At 36.4% G+C, this 20,039-nt stretch overlaps 5 annotated features.

Moving 5' to 3' along the window:
* Window positions 16,079-16,708: an enhancer, noted in NCBI's record as "OCT4-NANOG-H3K27ac hESC enhancer chr2:147296950-147297579 (GRCh37/hg19 assembly coordinates)". NCBI's record gives its function as "activates a minimal SCP1, AML or CMV promoter by ChIP-STARR-seq in naive and primed H9 embryonic stem cells {active_cell/tissue: H9 hESC(naive and primed)}" and the evidence as "EXISTENCE:reporter gene assay evidence [ECO:0000049][PMID:30033119]".
* Window positions 16,709-17,339: an enhancer, noted in NCBI's record as "OCT4-NANOG-H3K27ac hESC enhancer chr2:147297580-147298210 (GRCh37/hg19 assembly coordinates)". NCBI's record gives its function as "activates a minimal SCP1, AML or CMV promoter by ChIP-STARR-seq in naive and primed H9 embryonic stem cells {active_cell/tissue: H9 hESC(naive and primed)}" and the evidence as "EXISTENCE:reporter gene assay evidence [ECO:0000049][PMID:30033119]".
* Window positions 16,718-17,012: a silencer, noted in NCBI's record as "tiled region #508; HepG2 Repressive non-DNase unmatched - State 24:Quies, and K562 Repressive non-DNase unmatched - State 24:Quies". NCBI's record gives its function as "represses a minimal TATA promoter and a strong SV40 promoter by Sharpr-MPRA in HepG2 and K562 cells {active_cell/tissue: HepG2 | K562}" and the evidence as "EXISTENCE:reporter gene assay evidence [ECO:0000049][PMID:27701403]".
* Window positions 17,340-17,968: an enhancer, noted in NCBI's record as "OCT4-NANOG-H3K27ac hESC enhancer chr2:147298211-147298839 (GRCh37/hg19 assembly coordinates)". NCBI's record gives its function as "activates a minimal SCP1, AML or CMV promoter by ChIP-STARR-seq in naive and primed H9 embryonic stem cells {active_cell/tissue: H9 hESC(naive and primed)}" and the evidence as "EXISTENCE:reporter gene assay evidence [ECO:0000049][PMID:30033119]".
* Window positions 18,485-18,996: an enhancer, noted in NCBI's record as "NANOG-H3K27ac hESC enhancer chr2:147299356-147299867 (GRCh37/hg19 assembly coordinates)". NCBI's record gives its function as "activates a minimal SCP1, AML or CMV promoter by ChIP-STARR-seq in primed H9 embryonic stem cells {active_cell/tissue: H9 hESC(primed)}" and the evidence as "EXISTENCE:reporter gene assay evidence [ECO:0000049][PMID:30033119]".

The raw sequence follows: 20,039 nt of genomic DNA on the forward strand, positions 1-20,039 counted from the left end.
TGAGGCATAGCTGCCATATTTGTAAAATCAGCAGGTTCTGAAAAAAAATACAAGTTTTTAAATGAATGTTCAATTTTCCCCTAAACACATAAATGATACAATTACTTAGCTCCCTCTAGTGCCAATTTCTAATATAAACTTAATTATAATAACTGTATTCACCATGCAATTTTGAAGCAAATTAAAATTTTACTTGGCAATAATTAAGTAAACTTTCAAGGGTTTTATAGGTTGAGTTTGAGATCAGAGCCAAGCAAGATTCACGGATGACACTGTCATAGGTAGGCTCATGACTACAGTTACAGTAACAGTATTTCTTCACAAATTTTATTTCATATGTTTCAATTAAACACAAATAAACCAATAGAGTGTAAAAGAATGTTGATAAAAGAAATTAAGGCTTGCCATTGAATATTTTTCTACACGTCAATTTAGCTATAACAATCTCACTTAATCTGTGGCTTATATTGATTTTTCTTTGAACAAACAAATTTAAAACCCAAGAAGAAAGACACATCAAAGCTTCTATCAAGGTATAGAGAATAAAATTAAATTTTCAACTGTAGAGGAAAACAGAGCAGGCAGAACATATAATTTTAAAAAATTATAATAAAAACAGCTAACTTAATAAAATGACTTATTAACGTATGTTTCCTGGAGATTTCTCTTAGGCTGAAGCATATAATTGAAGACTTTTATTTCTAAGTAAAGGTAACATAATTACTTTTATTAGGTAAATTGTTTTGTATTGAATGCATTTAAAGAAAAGATAACAAGGAGGAAGAGGAGAGTAGTCAAAAATAGAATCTCATTCAATGAAAAACTGTAATAAAACTAGTGGATTTTCTAGGAACACAACTTTCCACAACAGTTTGTATATTCATTGCTCTTTTATTTTGTAATATAGTCTAAAGGCTAAGAGGGATGACAGCATGAATTTAGGAATCAAATGATATGTATTTGTTTAACAGAACTATGGTTAGTCAGTAAAATACAGATATTGCTTCAAATTAATAAGGCTCATGAAAATTAAAGAAAACGTGTATGTGAAACACACAGTTGAAAAATGATAGTTAATAACTTTTTTCTGTTGTGTTAGTAATTTTTAAATGTTCATAGAATAAAAACATATAATTGAATTGTACTTGTGATCATTGGTAACGTAAACATTATTCCTTAGTGCTGAGAATTAGTACTTTTAAAAATTAACTTATTTTTATTTCAATAAACATTTTTGTCCCAAATAAAAAGAAGAAATCTTTTCTAGAATAATACATGAGATTTTTACTTCTGTTTATTATTAGAGGGTATTATTATTATTGAGATGGAGTCTTGCTCTTGTTGCTCAGGCTGGAGTGCAATGGCGCAATCTTGGCTCACTGCAACCCTTGCCTCCCAAGTTCATGCAATTTTCCTGCCTCAGCCTCCAGAGTAGCTGGGATTACAGGCACCTGTCACCATGCCCAGCTAATCTTTTGTATTTTTAGTACAGGTGGGGTTTCACAATGTTGGCCAGACTAGTCTCAAACTCCTGACCTCAAGTGATCCACCCGCCTTGGCCTCCCAAAGTGCTGGGATTACAGGGGTGAGCCACCGCGCCCCGCCTACTTCTATTTATTTGTGTCATAATGACCCTGATTCAATTTGAATGACTGGACATTAATTCTATAAGGAAGGCAAGAGTCTTGGCCCCTGTATTGGCTCCTACTCCTTCTAATTCCTTCTATTTGCAATTTCCATTTGGCAAGGTTGGACAAGTGCCTTTCTTCTTGTGCAGTATTATGGGTAATTGCCTTCCACAGTTGTTCCAATAAAAATAAATAAATAAGCCACATGCAGGGAGAAGCTTTGGAAAATGCTCTGTACCAATACAATGGGTTAATTTTATTGTGATAGATGTTAATAAGACAACTTACCTGCAATGCTCATAGAGAGAGCTCTCCTTCTTTCTCCTGCCATTGAAGTTCCTTCAGTGACTACCTTTTCACCTATCCTATTCTTGACATACCTGCTTGACTTCTGAAACATTGTGGTAGATGGATTAATGAAATAATTTATCTCAAAAAAAAAGGAATAATAGATGACATTTTTGTGCTAAAAAAATTAATAAATATTATAAGCTGTCTTTTCTCTATGCTGAATGCAGAGATGTCACAGACAATATTCTGAAAAGTGTATACAAGCATATCTCATTTTATTGTGCTTCATTTTTATTTAAATTTTACTTCACAGATATTACTTTTTTTAACAAATTGAAGGAATTATAGCAGCCTTGTGACTAGCAATTCCTTGGGTGCCATTTTTCAAACAACATGAGCTCCCTTTGTGTCTCTGTGTCACATTTTGGTAATTCTCACCATATTTCAAATGTTTTCTTATTATATCTGCTATGATAATCTGGATCAGTGATCTTCGACGTTACTATTGTAATTACTTTGGGGCATCACAAACCATACCCATGTAAGATAGAAAACTTAATAGATAAATATTGTGTGTGTTCTGACCACCCCACTGACTGCCCATTCCTCTATCTCTCTCCCTTTCCTTAGACATCCCTGTTCCCTAAGATACAACAACATTAAAATCGGGCCAATTAAAAACACTACAATGGCCTCCAAGTATTCAAGTGAAAGAGTTGCATATCTCTCACTCTAAATCAAAGGTAGACATGATTAAGCTTAGTGAGGAAGGCATGACAAAAGCTGAGATGGACCAAAAACTAAGCCTTATGTGTCAGTTAGTCAAGTTGTAAATGCAAAGGAAAAGTTCTTGAAGGAAATTAAAAGTGCTACCCCAGTGAACATATTAATAATAAAAAAGCAAAATAGCCTTATTTATGATGTGGAGAAAAATTTCAGTAGTTTGAGTAGATCAAACCGGTCTCAACATTCCCTTAAAAGCCAAAGCCTAATCCAGAGCAAGATTCTAACTCTCTTCAATTCTGTGAAGTCTGATAGATGTGAAGAAGCTGCAGAAGAAAAGTTAGAAGCTAGCAAAAGTTGGTTCATGAAGTTTAAGGAAAAACACCATCTCAGTAACATAAAAGTGTAAGGTAAAGTAGGAAGTGCTGATGGAGAAGCTGCAGCAAGTTATCCAGAAGTCCTAGTTAAGATCATCGATGAAGGTGGCTATGCTAACAACTGATTTTCAATGTAGATGAAACAACTTTACATCTACATTGGAGGAAGATGCCATCTAGGGCTTTTGCAACTAGGGAGGAGAAGTCAGTGCCTAGCTTCAAAGCTTCAAAACACAGGTTTACTGTCTTGTTAGGGGCTAATGCAGCTGGTGACTTTGAGTTGAAGACAAGGCTCAATTTACCATTGCAGAAATCCTAGGAGCCTTAAGAATTGTGCTAAATCTACTCTGCCTGTGCCCTATAAATGGAACAACAAAGCTTGGATTACAAAATATCTGTTTACAGCATGGTTTACTGAATATTTTAAGCCCACAGTTGAGAACTACTACTCAGAAAATATTTCTTTCAGAGTATCACTGCTCATGGACAATGTACCTAGTCATTCAAGAGCTCTGATGCAGATGCACTAGAAGATTAATGTCGTTTGTATGCCTGCTAACACAACATCCATTTCGTAGCCCATAGATCAAGGAACAATGTCAACTTTAAGCCTAATTATTTAAGTAATACTTTTTATAAGGCTCTAGCTGCTATAGATAATGACTCCTCTGATGGATCTGGGCAAAGTAAATTAAAAACTTTCTAATAAGGATTCACTATTCTAGATGCCATTAATAACATTCCTGATTCATGCGAAGAGGTCAAAATATCATCAATATTAACACGAGTTTGAAAGAAGCTGATTTCAACCCTCATGGATGACTTTAAGGGGTTCAAAATTTCAGTGGAGAAAGTAACTGCAGATATGGAAGAATTATCAAGAGAGCTAGAATTAGAAGTAAAGCCTAAAGATGTGACTGAATTGCTGCATTCTCATGATAAAACTTTAATGGATGAGAATTCACTTTTTATGAATGAGCAAAGAATGTGGTTTTATGGAATGGAATCTACTCCTGACCAAGATGCTGTGAACACTGTTTAGGTCATTATTTTGACAAAGGATTTAGGATATTCCATAAACTTAGTTGATAAAGCAATGACTCTAGTTTCAAAAGAATTTCTACAGTGGGTAAAATGCTATCAAACAGCATCACATACCAGAGAGAAATCTTTCATGAAAGAAAGAGTCCATCAATCCAGCAAACTTTGTTGTTATGGTGTTTTAAGAAATTGTCATAGCCACTGCAACCTTCAAGCTACCACCACCCTAATCAGTCAGCAGCCATCAACACTGAGGCAAGACCCCCCACCAGCAAAAAGATTATCACTCACTGAAGGCTCAGAAGATTATTAGCATTTTTTAGCACTAAAGTACTTTTTAAAGTATGATATGTCTATTTTTTGGACATAATCTTATTGCACATGTAATAGACTACAGTATAGTATATACATAATTTTATATGCACTGTGAAAACAAAAAAAAATTCTATAACTTATTTTTGTTATGATATTCAGTATCGAACCAAACCCTTGATATCTCTGAGGTATACCTGTGTGTCTAAAATTTTCTGTGAGTTTACAAACTTAAGAGCATTTTAGAAATATTTAAATAAACCTATGCTATTATAATTGTAGTCTTTTATTTTTATTTCTAAATCTTAACAGATAAAGCCTAGTAACTAAATATTACAACACAATTACATGATTAATTAAGAATTTCATCTTTCCTCCCCTCCTTTGATTCAATGAAAGAAACACTTGTAAGTCACCAAAAAAGATAAGGTTTTTCTTCTTACTTGTTGGAAACTAGAGAGTTGGCCTCTATAATTTTCAATTAGGTTGTTACTTTCTCATCTTACTTACCTGTGACCATAACTTTTTTGATCAATTACCATTGTCCACTATTCTAAATGCTCCCTCTTTTACAACTGGATAGATTTGCACTGCTATCAACAGTGAAATTAAATGTACATCTTTAAAAAATCTTCCTTTATTTAGAACTGAAAATACAAGTTAGATTTTTTGCCAGTGGAAAGTTGAAATGTGATTTCCTATACTCTTGAAAAATTTAAATAATTCCCAAGATGTCAGCCCTTTCCACTCTCAAGTACATGGAGGAGGTGCAAATTTTTAGGAAAAGAAAGTTGATTTGGGAAAAAATACGTATTTAACGTGAGAGAAATCTACATTGGTAGATTTCCTGTCTCAGCAGAAAGTCAGATAATCCTGATCTACCTATCAATAGACTAGAGGACAACAGCTAATGAGGTGACTACATTTCATCAAAATTACTCCTTAACCGTGTTTCAATTTTCTTGATTTGCCTACCTTTCCTAGATGGTACAGTTTTGGTTAAAATTAGAAACTTGCAAAGAACAAATTAACCTCACATTCATTTATAGATATAGGCCACAAGGTTAGAATTGCCCTAATTTTAAAGTTACTTCCCAGGAAACAAATAATTCATTCACTAACCATTTGGAGGAAGAAATGTGTATTTTCTGGAACAGCCATAATGAATTTTACTTCAGATTTCCATTTTTCTGTTGAGGCATCTATTGCTGAAAAAGAGTTCAGTACTATGCAGGCAAATAAGAAGTATGTTTTTAAAACCTATTTGGAGAGCCAATTTTAACAGCTTCTCTTTTGTCGCTGGCTAAAGTTTACATCACAAGAATTTGAGTGGAACAAAAAAGAATATGTTCAAGTATTATTATTATGGCTGGATCATGGGCTAATAATAACAACAGTAACAACAAAAACAATAAAACAACTTTTTAGTCTTATGTTCTCAGGGCTTTAAAAATATATATATTACTTCATTTAGTTCTCCCAATAACCTTATGATTCAGGTATCATTATCTAATGAGGTACAGAAAAGTAAAGTCACTTGGTAAAGTCTACTCTGTCCATAAGGAGAACAAGGATGTGAAGGAACTAGGCAATTGGACTCTGGAAACTGAGCCTTTAGCTGAATGACTATTGTCCCAAATATGACAAAGAGGTCTGGATTAATAACACAATAATCATAGAAATGTATATTTATCTGGCAAATTGACACTTTTTCAAAGCAATATTAATTCCTTTATCTCATTCAAACCTCACAAATCTGTTAGACAGATAGGTCTATCATTTTCTCTTTTCTTGAAAATGAGAAAACAGAAGTTGTTCTGTGACTTTCCTAGATTATATCCCTGAAGGTCTGAGGAACAGGACAAAAAAAAAACAAAAACTAGGCATTTTTACTCATAAACACTAATAGTTCATGCTTGTAATTATAAAATTGTCCAATTTTAAATTTTATTAAGGGTTTATCACTTTGAAATCCAGAGTAATGTACTTTTAAATGAACCTTTAAAATAAAAATGTTTTAAATTTTTTTTTAATCTTAGCCAAAACCCATAAGACAAAATGTTTCCAACATCTTATGCTTTCACCTGTTCATAATAGTGCCCTTTATTTAAAGTTTCCCCAAACCAAAATGTAGAAAATAAAGTTCCTTCTGAGTCTGTGATGCCATGTAGTTCTACAATGCCACAAGAGCAACAGCAAAAATACTCTTCTAAAATGGTTTCTGGATAGTACTAAAGGTTAACCCACGTAATAAAACAATGATGTTATTGCCAACTAATTGTATTTCCTGTGTTTTCAGTGAGCTGAACTAATGAACTGATGGATATTGAAACTTAGGTGTTTTATGGCTAAATTATAACCATAATTTCTAAAACGTGTAATATTTTTTCAATATAGCAGCAACACCTGCTGCTAAATACGAAAATGATTAGCCACAAACTAACCTACTATAAAATATCAAAATGCATTTGCCCAATGAAGAACTAATGGGAATTATGCAGATTACATTTCCTTCCCTGCTGAAGGCAACCGAGCTTCACCTCATAGCAAAATGAAAATATAACTCAAATACAAAACAATATATACACAGAGACATAACCAAATACGTTTCTGATTATTTTTAGACAGGTTTCCTTTTCATGTAATTATTTGGCAACAAAGAGCTAAAATAAAGGTTAGAGCATTTGGTGGGTACCTGAATAGCTCTGTGTTAACCAACTAGGAATATTATTCAGATACCTCATACCAAAACACTCATTCAGAATTATAATGTAGATGTGCATGCTAACAGAAACCAATTTCTTACAATACCTTATCATAATTAGATTTATTCTGTAACTTTTCTTAAAGCACTCACTATTCTGCTGATAGCAAAGAATTGGACAGTAAGAAACTTGTGCAATTGGCTGATTGACTTTGGGAATTAGAATGAATTATCTAAGTTTTCTCTTTCTGTAGTACTAAATACTAAATAAAAATCGACTTTAAAATTATTTCCATAGAATTTGTATTGTTGAACAACTCATGATAAAGGTAACTGCTTTTTGTAGCTGTGTGTGTAAACATAGGATGCTTTCTTCTGTAGACAACTTTATTCAAATGAAGAATGCAGAGATGGTGTATCATCATCCTTTTATAGATGAGCGTCACTGAATTATATATAATAAAATATCTTTTTGCACTCTGAGCAACTGGCAAAGAGAAACAGAAGCATCCTTTAAAAGTGAAGATTTTTAGCATATATTTAAATTTAGTTATTTAGATGTGTGTTTCTATTGCTGAAGCTTCAGGACATATTTGCAAATTTTAAAACTACCACCTAATCATTTTGCTGAAAAACAGCAATAGTTAGACATTGCACAAATCATAAAGTGCTTTGCACAAACTCTGGAAACTGTCTTGTCTACAGAAACTTTCCTTAAGCAACAGCAGGGATAAACAGATGGGCCATACCATGTTTTAAAATGCCTATAGCTTTAGATTCTGTTAGAAAAGCTGGCAAAATTATATCCAGGAAAAAAACTGATAAAATTTAATTTCATTGAATGTCATTATGATTATTTGTGCAATAGTAGAAAGGAAATCTTAACTGATCTCCATCCATAAGTATAAAAGAATTGTCAGATCAAAGCAGTTTGCAGAGCATACCACTCTTCACATTGTAAATGATCAAATGAATACATTGAACAGTGTTGCTTTTAGAATTAGAAAGATAGAGGACATAAAAGATAATACAGCAATGCCTTCTGAAAGTGACAAATAATTGTGTTCATTCCCCAGTAGTTGTTTATTGTAATGCCATTCTCTAAACTATAGTAATTGTTTAGAGTAATTTTTTGTTTGTTTTTGGATACTAACATTCTCCACATTTTCTGCACAAATTTTCCTGACTGATCTTACATACAAAGGAGTTTAGAAATCTAAGAACTAACCAAGTATCAGTCAGCAATCTTGAAATTTACAGTTGATTAATAAGCCTAAAAATGTACTATGAAGTCCAAATGAGTCTCACTAAACACTAAAATAATTCATTTGATTTTGGACCGTTCATTCCAGTAACAGGAAGTTTTACACTTATTGTTCATGGTAACTTTGATCATTTAAATACATTCTTAATAATAAAGGCTACTTTTAACTAGTTTCTAGAAAACCAACATATTGAATAGCAGTTGCTGTATCAGTTTATTAGCCTTCAATTTAAACTCTTAAGTAAAAAGTGTTCTTTGGTTAAGCCAAATCACTGAGGACAATTCAGCCAGATGGCCATGGTGCCGATTCAGAAAATATTAAACTGCTTACTGGAATGAGTCAACTGCAGGACTGATTGATTTAGTCACATATTCAAAACTTTTGCTTCTTATCCCATTAAAAGTAGTACTAATGAGCAGCGGCTATGACCTTCCAGTGAGAAGCCACAAGTTCCACAACCCCTCGATATTTACCACCCAAATTTAATCTTTTTAATGGACACCTTAAAAGGGATCTGATAGAAAATACTAAGAGCTGCTCAGATACTAAAACACTTAGGGAGGCTTTTGATTAATGTTGCATGATTAATCAATTGATTAATATAGTTTTCAATACAGATGTTAGGACACTGTCTACTTTAATCAACCATTCTGAAAATAGTGAAGATAAATGCCATACTTTTGTGTCTGCTAAGAAAAAAAAATCCTTTCTTTAAAGGTTTTTAATTATGACATAAGCCTTATTTACCACACGCAAATTTTATCTAATGTTGACATATTTATACATAGGAACCATTAATGAGATAAGTGGGATCCTTTTGGCAAAGCCATATTTTAATCACTTTAAAAATAATTTATTTAGCCATTTTATGGACGTTTCCCTTAATGAGAAATTATTTTAGAATAATGCTGTAAAATGCATTAGAATCTTAAAGTTTTTATTATTATTTTCCAAGACCATTTGTAATTTGTGATAATGCTTTCCACCATACTAAAACTGAAATCTTTATTCCAGTCAAAAATAATCACCCTGTAATTACTGTGACAAACTGCCCAAGCTGTATCATCGTGGCCATTTCAACTAATGATATTGTATTAGAATGCCTAGCAATAGACTTCAAATGGAAAATATAATTATGTGCATTAGTTTGTCTAAGCATTTATAAGATCACATATCCATCAGTTTTCAGGTCTCATAAAGAAAGCCATACATCACTGTCACTGTGAGTTTTGTTATTGAAAGCGCAGGCCTAACAAACTGAGCTTAAGATGTGTATCTTAAATTTCACTTGTTTTGTGGATCACCAAAATCCCTGTAAATCAAGCCAGCATAATTGAGAAGAGCTTTTCCTCTGGTGATGGAGGAACTCTGAGCACAGACCACTTGACACTCTGACTAAACAGAAGACTAGCCAGCCTGAGACAGCTTAATCTAGCTTTTCCACACCTCCTAAATCTGTGGGAGTCTGATTTGGCATAAAAGCCTATGGAATGGCTTTTGGGCAAGGTATCAAATTAAAGGTTTCATACTGTCGGCTCCACTGACCTGAGAGAAATTAGAAGGAAAAAACGTGCAAAAAAATGATGTACGTTTGAGTTGCGAATGGGAGGAAAGAGTTCTTTGAAAAACAAATATGCAATGAACTTGAATAAATTATACTTCAAATAAATGACAGCATTAGAATTAAAATTTGACAATTATTTACTGGACTCTGCACACAACAAATCATAGAACCTTGGGAACGTTGCTCAGCTTTTTTGTCTCCCAGTGTTCTCATTTGTAAAATGAAGCCACAGATGGATTTTTTTACCGTTTCTAGTTTTAGCTTACTCTAACAATGTGAATCAAAGTTGAATTTAAAAAATATTTGCTCTATCAGTTCAAACAAAAAAATACATTAAAAAGCGAAACCTACTTTGGGATAACAAAAGAAAAATGTTTTAATTGGTTGCAAAAAATAACCTATCAACAGGTATAAAAGTTTCTCTTCTACTAGGAATAATTACGTTACAAAATATTATACCCCCATGGACCCAAATTTGAATCTGTTAACTTCTCATGTTGTGTGTTCATTGTCTGTAGAAAGTGATAATTTGTGTGTGATTTTCTCCTAAAATGTGTCACCTGTACATGATGCTGAAAATGTGTTAAAACATGTTCTGGCATCTTTAGATCAGTCTCTACTAGATCTGGAATGAGAAAATTCACTTCTCTATGATATAAACCTAGTAGAGGTGTGTTTCTAAAGAGCAGCACTACTGACATTTTGGGTTGGATCATTCTTTGTGGTGAGGTTATCTTGTATATTCCAGGATGTTTAGTGGCATCCTTGGTCTGTACCTATTAGGTCCTGGTAGAACTCACCCCCACTCCCAGGAGAGAAAACAAAAAATGTCTCTAGATGTTGCCAAATGTCTCCTGGAGGGCAAAATCACCCCTTGTTGAGAATCACTTTCTGACAGTATAAGCAACTAGTAAAAACATTGTTAGACCAAGAAAAAGTAGAATGCTCTGAAGTCATAAATACGTAGATTTTGAAATGATTCCGTGGTTATTTATTTATTTTATGTATCTATACCAAAGCATGTGAAAAAATTTAAGTAACACAAATATTTTTTGGCATTCATGTGTCTTTTTTCTATTGCTGAATCTGAAGATGCTTTCTAAGTCCTGCCTCTGAGAAAAAATTTGACTAGGAATAATTCTTAACCCAATGTTAATCTAATTGGAAAGAAAAGGTCAAAGTCAAAAAAGCCGGGAAATTATTAGATAAGGTAAGATATTTTTCTATTCATGAAAGGGCAGAGTTTGTTGTTGTTTTTTAATAGTCAATTGATTATCATGATTACTCAGCTCAACTAGTTAAGGTTCTCATGACCTCGTGGATGTCCAAGACAACAGCTTCCAGTTGTCATAACCATATATACATATATACCTATGTTTTACATCTTTTAAATTAATACATCATTTTCATAAGTCAGGAATAGTTATTCCTATTCTATAGATTAGAAAACTGAGGCTTAGAAATGTCAATACTACCATTAGGTGACAGAACTAATAGTCAAGTCTAGGTTTTCTAACGCAATGATTTGTGATCTTAACTCACTGTTCTCAGCTAGGATATTTTATTAAATTCTGCATTATTTTTTACAAAGTATAAATTATATCTATTCAGCAGATGAAAATGTTACTCAGTTCTGTTTGCCTCAGCTGTCTACAAGCCAAAAGCTGAGAAATAAATGACTTTATGATCCTATTTTCATATAATGCTCTCCCTTAACTCATAAGTAGGAAAAATTTTAAAAAAAAATCAAATCTTTTTTCCTCTTGAGGCCACTAATTCATCAGTTCATGGTGTATAGACATGATTCTAAACCATATAAAATATTGTAGCACTAAAGTCGTCAGTATTTAATCCCCCAAATTCCAGAATTTAATTCACCATTTCTATGAAGTATTCACCAGGGCCTTAATTTCTGACTTTCTGAGTTCTGGAAGGCTTGTAGGACATGCAGAATAAGATAGTCATCTTTAAACCCCATGTTGAAGACAGGTCTACCATTGTAGGAGCACATTCATTTTTCTCAGTAGGAAATATTACTATTCCTTTGAAAGTCTAATGCTATGCTAACATCAAGTAACATTCAGCAAAATTCTGCCTACATTGTGTTATTTCCATGTTTTGGCGCTATATACATTTGTCTATGCTTTCAACTCAAAAGTTGAGCAATATTGCTTGCTGTATTTTGGTGCCAGCATAGATTTAAGCCATCCAAACAAGACTGCGTATTTGAACTGACAGAGAGTAAATGATTTGCATCTGGCATAACTGATGGTGGTGTCAAAACCTTGGAAGATAATTCATTGGTAAACATATTCCTCTGGATGCCTAGCCACACATGCCCAATTTCCTATCAAGGGATAGAGCCAGATCATTGCCAGAACAATGTGAAATATTTTATACAGATAATTCAAGAGATTATTTTGCTCTGACAGAAAATGGGGGGTGGGGGACGGGAAATGTGGTAGTGTTCCTCATTGATGAGGCAAGATAATTTTTTAACCTTCATTGCAGAAATTAAATTTCATGCAAAAATGCCTTTATGACAACTATGGAGTTGATGAACTAGTAAAAATAATCACAAACAGCAAGCTTAAAAAAAAGTAATCTACAATTCCTTGTTGTAATTGATAAAGAAAAAAAAAGTTTTCATCAGGCCATGACTAAAATGATGACAAAGAAGGAATACAGCATTAAGGCCTTAACACACGTGTGTGAACTACCCAGATCTCTTGAAAGAAATAGTCGTAACTAGATACTGTGCTAAATTCATAACAAATGTTCAATTCTAACAGTAGTTTTACACTAGTAGCCTTTTTGAGATACACAAGCTCAATGGAATAAAAATCTTTGAATCTTTCCATTCCTTTCCATTCTTAAGGAATTTATACATTACTTCAGATGTCTGTGTTAGTCTGTTCTTGCGTTGCCATAAAGGGGTATCTGAGACTGGGTAATTTCTAAAGAGAAGAGATTTAATTGGCTCACAGTTCTGCAGGCTGTACAGGAAGCAGGGTGCTGGCATCTGCTTCTGGCGAGGCCTCAGGAAGCTCACAATCATGGCAGAAGACGACGGGAACCAGCATGTCTCATGGAGAGAGCAGGAGCAAGAGAGAGAGGAGGAGGTCCCTAACTCTTAAACAACCAGATCTCATATGAACTAGCTGAGTGAGAGCTCATCACCATGAGGATGGTGCTAAACCATTCAAGAGGAATCCATCCCCAAGATCCAATCACCTCCCACCAGGTCCCATCTCCAACACTGGAAATCACATTACAACATGAGATTTGGAAAGGACAAACATCCAAAGCACATCAATGACATATGCAAATGGAATTCTGTCCAGGTGTTCATAGAATTGGGTTGAATTAAATAGTCTCTTGAAGAATGAATGCATGTCATATACAGGGAATAAACTTCAAGATAATTTAAATCAAATAAAACACTCTTGCTATTAAACTATATGCACCATAGTTTATTATCTCTCTGATCATTTAGTTGACCTTTCAAGATCTCGTGGCTCAATCAAACACAGCTATTGAGTACCTATTGTGTCATATACTCTGTGCAAAGTATTGGATCTGATAGAAAAATGACTGTGGCTTTTATCTCTGTCTAGCTCTTAGTCCAGGGAGGATATTTAAGAAATTCACTTTTAAAAATATCATGATGGTAGAACACACTATTCCAATAGATATGGGCACAGACTCTGCCTGGGTTATTTCAAAGGCTTCACTGTGAAGGGGATGGTGAAGATGGCCGTCACAGTCTGTATGTTTTTGTCCCCCAAAAATCTGTGTGCTGAAGCCTTAACTACCAGTTTGGCTTTATTCAGAAATGGGAACTCTACAGAAGTAATTAAGGTAAAATAAGGCCTTGATCCAACAAGATTAGCGTCACTATGAGAAGAGATAGGCCGGGTGCGGTGGCTCATGCCTGTAATCCTAGCACTTTGGGAGGCCAAGGCGGGTGGATCACAAGGTCAGGAGATCCAGACCATCCTGGCTCACACGGTGAAACCCTGTCTCTACTAAAAATACAAAAAAGTAGCCAGGTGTGGTGGCACGTGCTTGTAGTCCCAGCTATTCGGGAGGCTGAGGCAGGAGAATGGCATGAACCCAGGAGGCGGAGCTTGTGACTGGGCAACAGAGCGAGACTCCTGTCTGAAAGAAAGAAAGAAAAAGGAAGGGAAGGGAAGGGGAGGGTAGGGGAGGGGAGGGGAGAGGAAGAGAGGGGAGGGGGAGGAGGAGGGGAAGGGGAAGGGGAAGGGAAAGAAAGAAAGGAAGGAAGGAAGGAAGGAAGGAAGGAAGGAAGGAAGGAAGGAAGGAAGGAAAGGGAAGGAAGGAAGGAAGGAAAGGAAGGAAGGAAAAAGAAAGAAAAAGAAGAAAGAAAGAAAGAGAAAGAAAGAAAAAGAAGAAAGAAAGAGACATCATCACTGAGCGCACCCGCTCTCTCTCCCTCTATGTGTGCACACAAAAAAGAGGTTATGTGACCACACAGGGAGATGGTGACTGCCTGCAAGCAAGAGTAGAGCCTCAGAATAAAACCTACCCAGCTGGCATCTTCATCTAAGACTTCACAGCCTCCAGAATTGTCAAAAAATTCATTTCTCTTGTTCAAGCCATCTAGTCTGTTCATTTGTTATAGCAGCCACAGCAGACAAATACAATGATATTTCAGGTGCATTTTCAAAGACGAATCAAAGCTTTCTTACCAAGACAAAACACATGGGAACAGAAATAAGTAAATGGGGAGAAGGGGTAGATGGAGAGTAAAGAAGAGATCAAGAACAAGACAAGGGCAAGGAGCAGCCTGAGTAAAAGAGCCCATTGGAACAAAGCAGGACAGAAAACATATGCATGGTCAGAGGTAGAATGTGAGGAAATTAGCATGTGATTTATTGTTTCTTTTTCCTGTGTCAAGCCAATCTTCTGTTGTCAAGGGAGGTAGGGATAAATAGGTGGCTTAAAGTAAATTGTAAAGGTTTGAAATATTTGCTTTGGGGAATGAAGAAATGAACTAAGCACAAATCAATGGTAATCCAACAGGATTATTAGAGTTAGGTTGGAAAGAGGTTTATAATGACTAATGAGTGTCTTTTGGTGGTGATAGTGATGGTGGGTGTTTTCCATGTGCAACAAAAGTGGAGGAAGTAGATGATCGGATTTGCCAGGTCTGGCTGACTGGCAGGGCAGCTGTGGCAGAAGCAGGAGGTAAGGCTACTGTGGGTGGTGGAAAAGGTTGCCTGGCTAATCCGATGTCCCGGCTGCAATAAAGAAGAAAACGGAAGGGAAGAAAGCAATGAATCCTGTGAATGGGGCAAAGGTGTGAAAAGCTGAAAGAGAGGAAAAGGGGAAAATTTGGTTAGAGGATGAAGGAAAAAAATGATAGATTATATTTAATGGAATTAAGAGACAAGAAGTTTTAAATATATTGGGAATGTATTTTAACTTGCTAAGCATAGCAGAGACTGGAGGAGCTCTTCACCACACCAGTTTCCTTTTCCCTCTGGATATCTGGATAAATCACCACTCTGGAGGGAAGAAAAAGTAGTTTTCTCCTCCCCCATCACAAGGTTCATGGCCAAGGCCCCTATAAACAAAAGACAGATTAACAAGAGAAATGCATAGCAATTTTATTTAATCAAAGTTTTACATGGCATGGGAGCACTCATAAATGAAGGCCTAAAGATGCAGGGAAAACTGTATCTTTATGTTAAGTCCGATGAAAGAAGAGGATAATTGTGGAGAAGAAACATGTCTCAACAAAAAGGAATATGACCTAATGGTAATGAACTGGGGGAAACTCAGGAAGGCCTGTTTGTTTCGTCTTTTCTGTGTCTCAGGCTGATATTCCTCCCCATTTATGGGGCAAGACACTTGTCACATGAGGATCTTCATGGGAGAACGGAAAAGATCAGAGCGTGACCTTCCTAGCTTTTATGGCTTGCTTCGGTGGAGAGGAATTCTAGTTTCTAAGACCCACTTGGGGGAAGAAAATGGGACCGGAGAAGGCAAGGCTGGAGCAGGTCTATGAAACTGTCTTGTTTCTGAGGCCTTCCCAATCTTATTCAGCTCAAAATCGTCAGCATGTCAAAGTGTCATGCTTTCAGGTATCATATTCAGAGCCCAAATAATTCCCATCTGGCTTATGAAGCATAAGAAGAATGGAAATAAGCCACGTTCAAGAATGGGCTGTAGTAACCTCCTGAATGTGATCCCCACTTATTTGACCTTCTGTGGTGACCTTGGAAACCATGTGTTGAAGATGCAGAGCCACACGATGGAAGGAGAACCACAGCCACTTGCAAATCAAAATTACCTGCTTTGACTATTGCCTTAATAATAGAGGGAGAAATATGACATATTTTAGGTATTTCAAGTGGATTATTTTCTGCCAATGTTATAAGAATACTTTTCAATTTCTATAAGATAAATGCTAAGTAAGCTTATGACATGTATGCTCTCATAATGCCATGTGCACTCTCATAATGCCACCCAGCTAATCAGGGAACTGCTGCATGTTTTCATATGAAATATTTTCGGGGTTCCAAAGAGAGTAACTGTAGTAATGACCATAAGCTGTTTAACCAAGTATAATGATTAAATATATAGGCAAATACTTTTACAGATTTTTAACTCAAAATGCCCAAACATATCTTCTGAACACAATCCTTGCTCTCTAGGTGTCAGGCCTCTGAGCCCAAGCTACGCCATCATATCCCCTGTGACCTGCACGTACACATCCAGGTGGCCGGTTCCTGCCTTAACTGATGACATTCCACCACAAAAGAAATGAAAATGGCCTGTTCCTGCCTTAACTGATGGCATTATCTTGTGAAATTCCTTCTCCTGGCTCATCCTGGCTCAAAAGCTCCCCTACTGAGCACCTTGTGACGCCCACTCCTGCCTGCCAGAGAACAACCCCCCTTTTTCCTTTACCTACCCAAATCCTATAAAACGGCCCCACCCCATCTCCCTTTGCTGACTCTCTTTTCAGACTCAGCCCGCCTGCACCCAGGTGATTAAAAGCTTTTATTGTTCACACAAAGCCTGTTTGGTGGTCTCTTCACATGGACGCGCATGAAACTAGGTATCTCTATAAAACAGGGTGGGAGCTGAGTTTTGAGGTAGAAGGGGGAGTTCAGAGAGGTAGAAACCCTGAGGAGAGACTTATGTACCTCAATTCCACTCCTAGCACCTTCTGAGTAGTTTCTCCTCCTCCTGCTTTCAACATGTCTTTGAGTGACACAAACAAAGCCACTGTTTTGGGGAGAAAAAAATGCAATAGTCTCACAACCATTCTTCCTTTTAGCCTCTTAAGTGGTTTTCTAAGAGTATTTTACAGCTTGTTCCTCCAGATAAAAGAAGAGAACATTTTTTAAAAGCAGCCTCTAAAGCCCTATCCTTTCTCTTTTCACTTGGAAGACAAAGAATGCATGTAAATGCTAATGAGAGCTTTTGCATAAACAGAGGAAGAAGCAGTGAAAGGCCTTGTTTCTTAATACCAGAAGTGGCAAAAATAAGTTTTTACCTCGGCTTCTTCTTAACTTGCCAAACTCTAAAGCACTCTCCTCCCAGCCTCCCACATTCTTCTGAGAGCTCAGCCCTGAGGAAGGTGAGGGAAGGTAGAGCTTGGCAAACCAGTATCAATAAGACAGACCATTTGTGAGCTTTAAGGGAGGGTGAGAAATTCTGATGACTAGGCACTGTTTAACAAAGCAAGTACTGAAGACCTGGGGTGCTTTGAAAATAACATGTTTTGGAGTCACTCAGACCTGAGTTAGACACCTTGTTCTATTGTTTAAGAGCTGTTTGCCTCAGATAAGCTATTTCCTTTCCTGGAATCTTGTTTTTTCCTACCTAAACTGTGGGGCGGGGTGGGGGGGGGCAGGGGGAAGTATCAACATCACAGACTTGTTATGAAAATTAAAGATAACAGTTGGCCGGGCACGGTGGGTGGCTCACACCTGTAATCCCAGCACTTTGGGAGGCCAAGTTGGGCGGATCACAAGGTCAGGAGATCAAGACCATCCTGGCTAACATGGTGAAACCTTGTCTCTACTAAAAAGACAAAAAAATTAGCCGGGCGTGGTGGCATGCGCCTGTAGCCCTAGCTACTTGGGAGGCTGAGGAAGGAGAACCACTTGAACCCGTGAGGCAGAGGTTGCAGTGAGCCAAGATCGGGTCACTGCACTCCAGCCTAGGCAACAGAGTGAGACTCTGTCTTGAAAAAAAAAAAAAAAAAAAAAAAAAAAAAAAAAAAACCACGCACACACACACACACACAAAAACAGTTTAAGTAATGTTTGGAGCCTAGTAAGGAAAATATTATATGCGAGCAACTTGATCAGTCAAGAGATATTTGAGTACCCTACTATATGTGATATCAGCTTTGTAATATTAGCAGGGAAATGGTAGGGGAAATAAGGTGAGTGTATTAGGGAATTGGGGTTTGAACACAAAAGTATTTGAGACAGTTCTCAATCCAGAAAGTTTATTTTGCCAAAGCTAAGGATGCATTTGTGACATAGCCTCAGGAGGCCCTGATGACATGTGCCCAAGGTGGTTAGGGCACAGCTTGGTTTTAGACATTTTAGGAAGACATGAGCCATCAACCAATATGTGGGAGATGTACACCGGTTGTGTCTGGAAAGGCTTCCAAGTCACAGGTAGATAAGGAATGAACAGTTGCACTCTTTTGAGTCTTTGATCAGCCTCTCACTAAATATACAATTTACATGTGAAAGGGGGTAGAGAAATAGTCACTTATGCCTTAGTCTGACTCAGTGAATCTGCATTTTTACATAAACAATAAGACAGAGGAAGCAATCAGATATGCATTTGTCTCAGGTGAGCAGAGGAATGACTTCTGTCCTTCCCCGCCCCCACATCTGTGAAGATAAGCTATTAATTTACATTGCCCAAGGTGAAATTCAACAGAACTGTTTTAGGGTAAAAACCTTGAGACCAACAATGAATTCCCTTGTGGGTGAATTTTGAGAGGTATGTAGCTTTAAAAAAAAAAGAAAGAAAGAAAGAAAGAAAAGAAAAAAGAAAAAAATCTTTGTAGCTATCTTATTTAGTAATAAAATGGGAGGTAGTATACTGATGCAGTTCCAAGCTTGACTTTTCCCTTTGGCTTAGTAATTTTGGGGTCCCAAGATTTATTCTCCTTTCACAGAGGAAATAATATGAGTATATGAGGGAATCCTTTGCGCTTTCTTTGCAACTTTTCTGTAAATCTAAAAATAGTCCCAAGTCCAAAGTTTATTAAAAATAAAAAGCAGGAAAGCCACAGCCTATGTCTAATAAGCCTAATAATATGCTTCTTTTCTACACCATTTGTGAAAATTATTTTGTGCTGGGCATGAAACCTGAAGCTGAATTTTAGCTAAGACAAGACCATAGGTGTTTAAAATAATGCCTAACAGCCAGTAGACTTTTAATCAGGCCTAGATGCATTGTAGACATCTGTATTAGTAAAAGTTCTCTAGAGGGACAGAACTAAAAGGAGCTCTCTCTCTCTCTCTCTCTCTCTCTCTCTCCATATATATATATATATATATATCTCCTATGTGTGTATATATATGTATATCCTATGTGTGTGTATATATATATCATATACATGTCACACATAAATATATATACCCTATGTATATATGTATACACACACATAGGGAAATCTATTAACTATTAATTTACATGATCACAAGGTCCCACTGTAGGCTGTCTGCAAGCTGAAGAGCAAGGAGAGCCAGTCTGAGTCCCAAAACTGAAGAACTTGGAGTATGATGCTCGAGGGCAGGAAGCATCCAGCACAGGAGAAAAATGTAGGCTGGGAGACTAGGCCAGTGTTGCCTTTTCACATTTTTCTGCCTGTTTTATATTCACTGGCAGCTTATTAGATGGTGTCCACCAGATTAAGGATGGATCTGCCTTCCCCAGCCCACTGACTCAAATGTTAATGTTGGATAGAAAGTGCTCTAGGAATAAATGCTCGGTGCTACAAAGTGAAACCAGCACTCAGGCCAAAGTTTAATTCTCTAATTAAGGCAATTTACTTCTGCAAAAGGGTGCTACCTGCATCAATCAAGGTCGCAACAGCACAGGGAACAAAGGAGAGCAGCAAGCTTT

The sequence above is a fragment of the Homo sapiens genome, chromosome 2 (assembly GCF_000001405.40).
Source record: "Homo sapiens chromosome 2, GRCh38.p14 Primary Assembly".
NCBI lineage: Eukaryota > Metazoa > Chordata > Mammalia > Primates > Hominidae > Homo > Homo sapiens.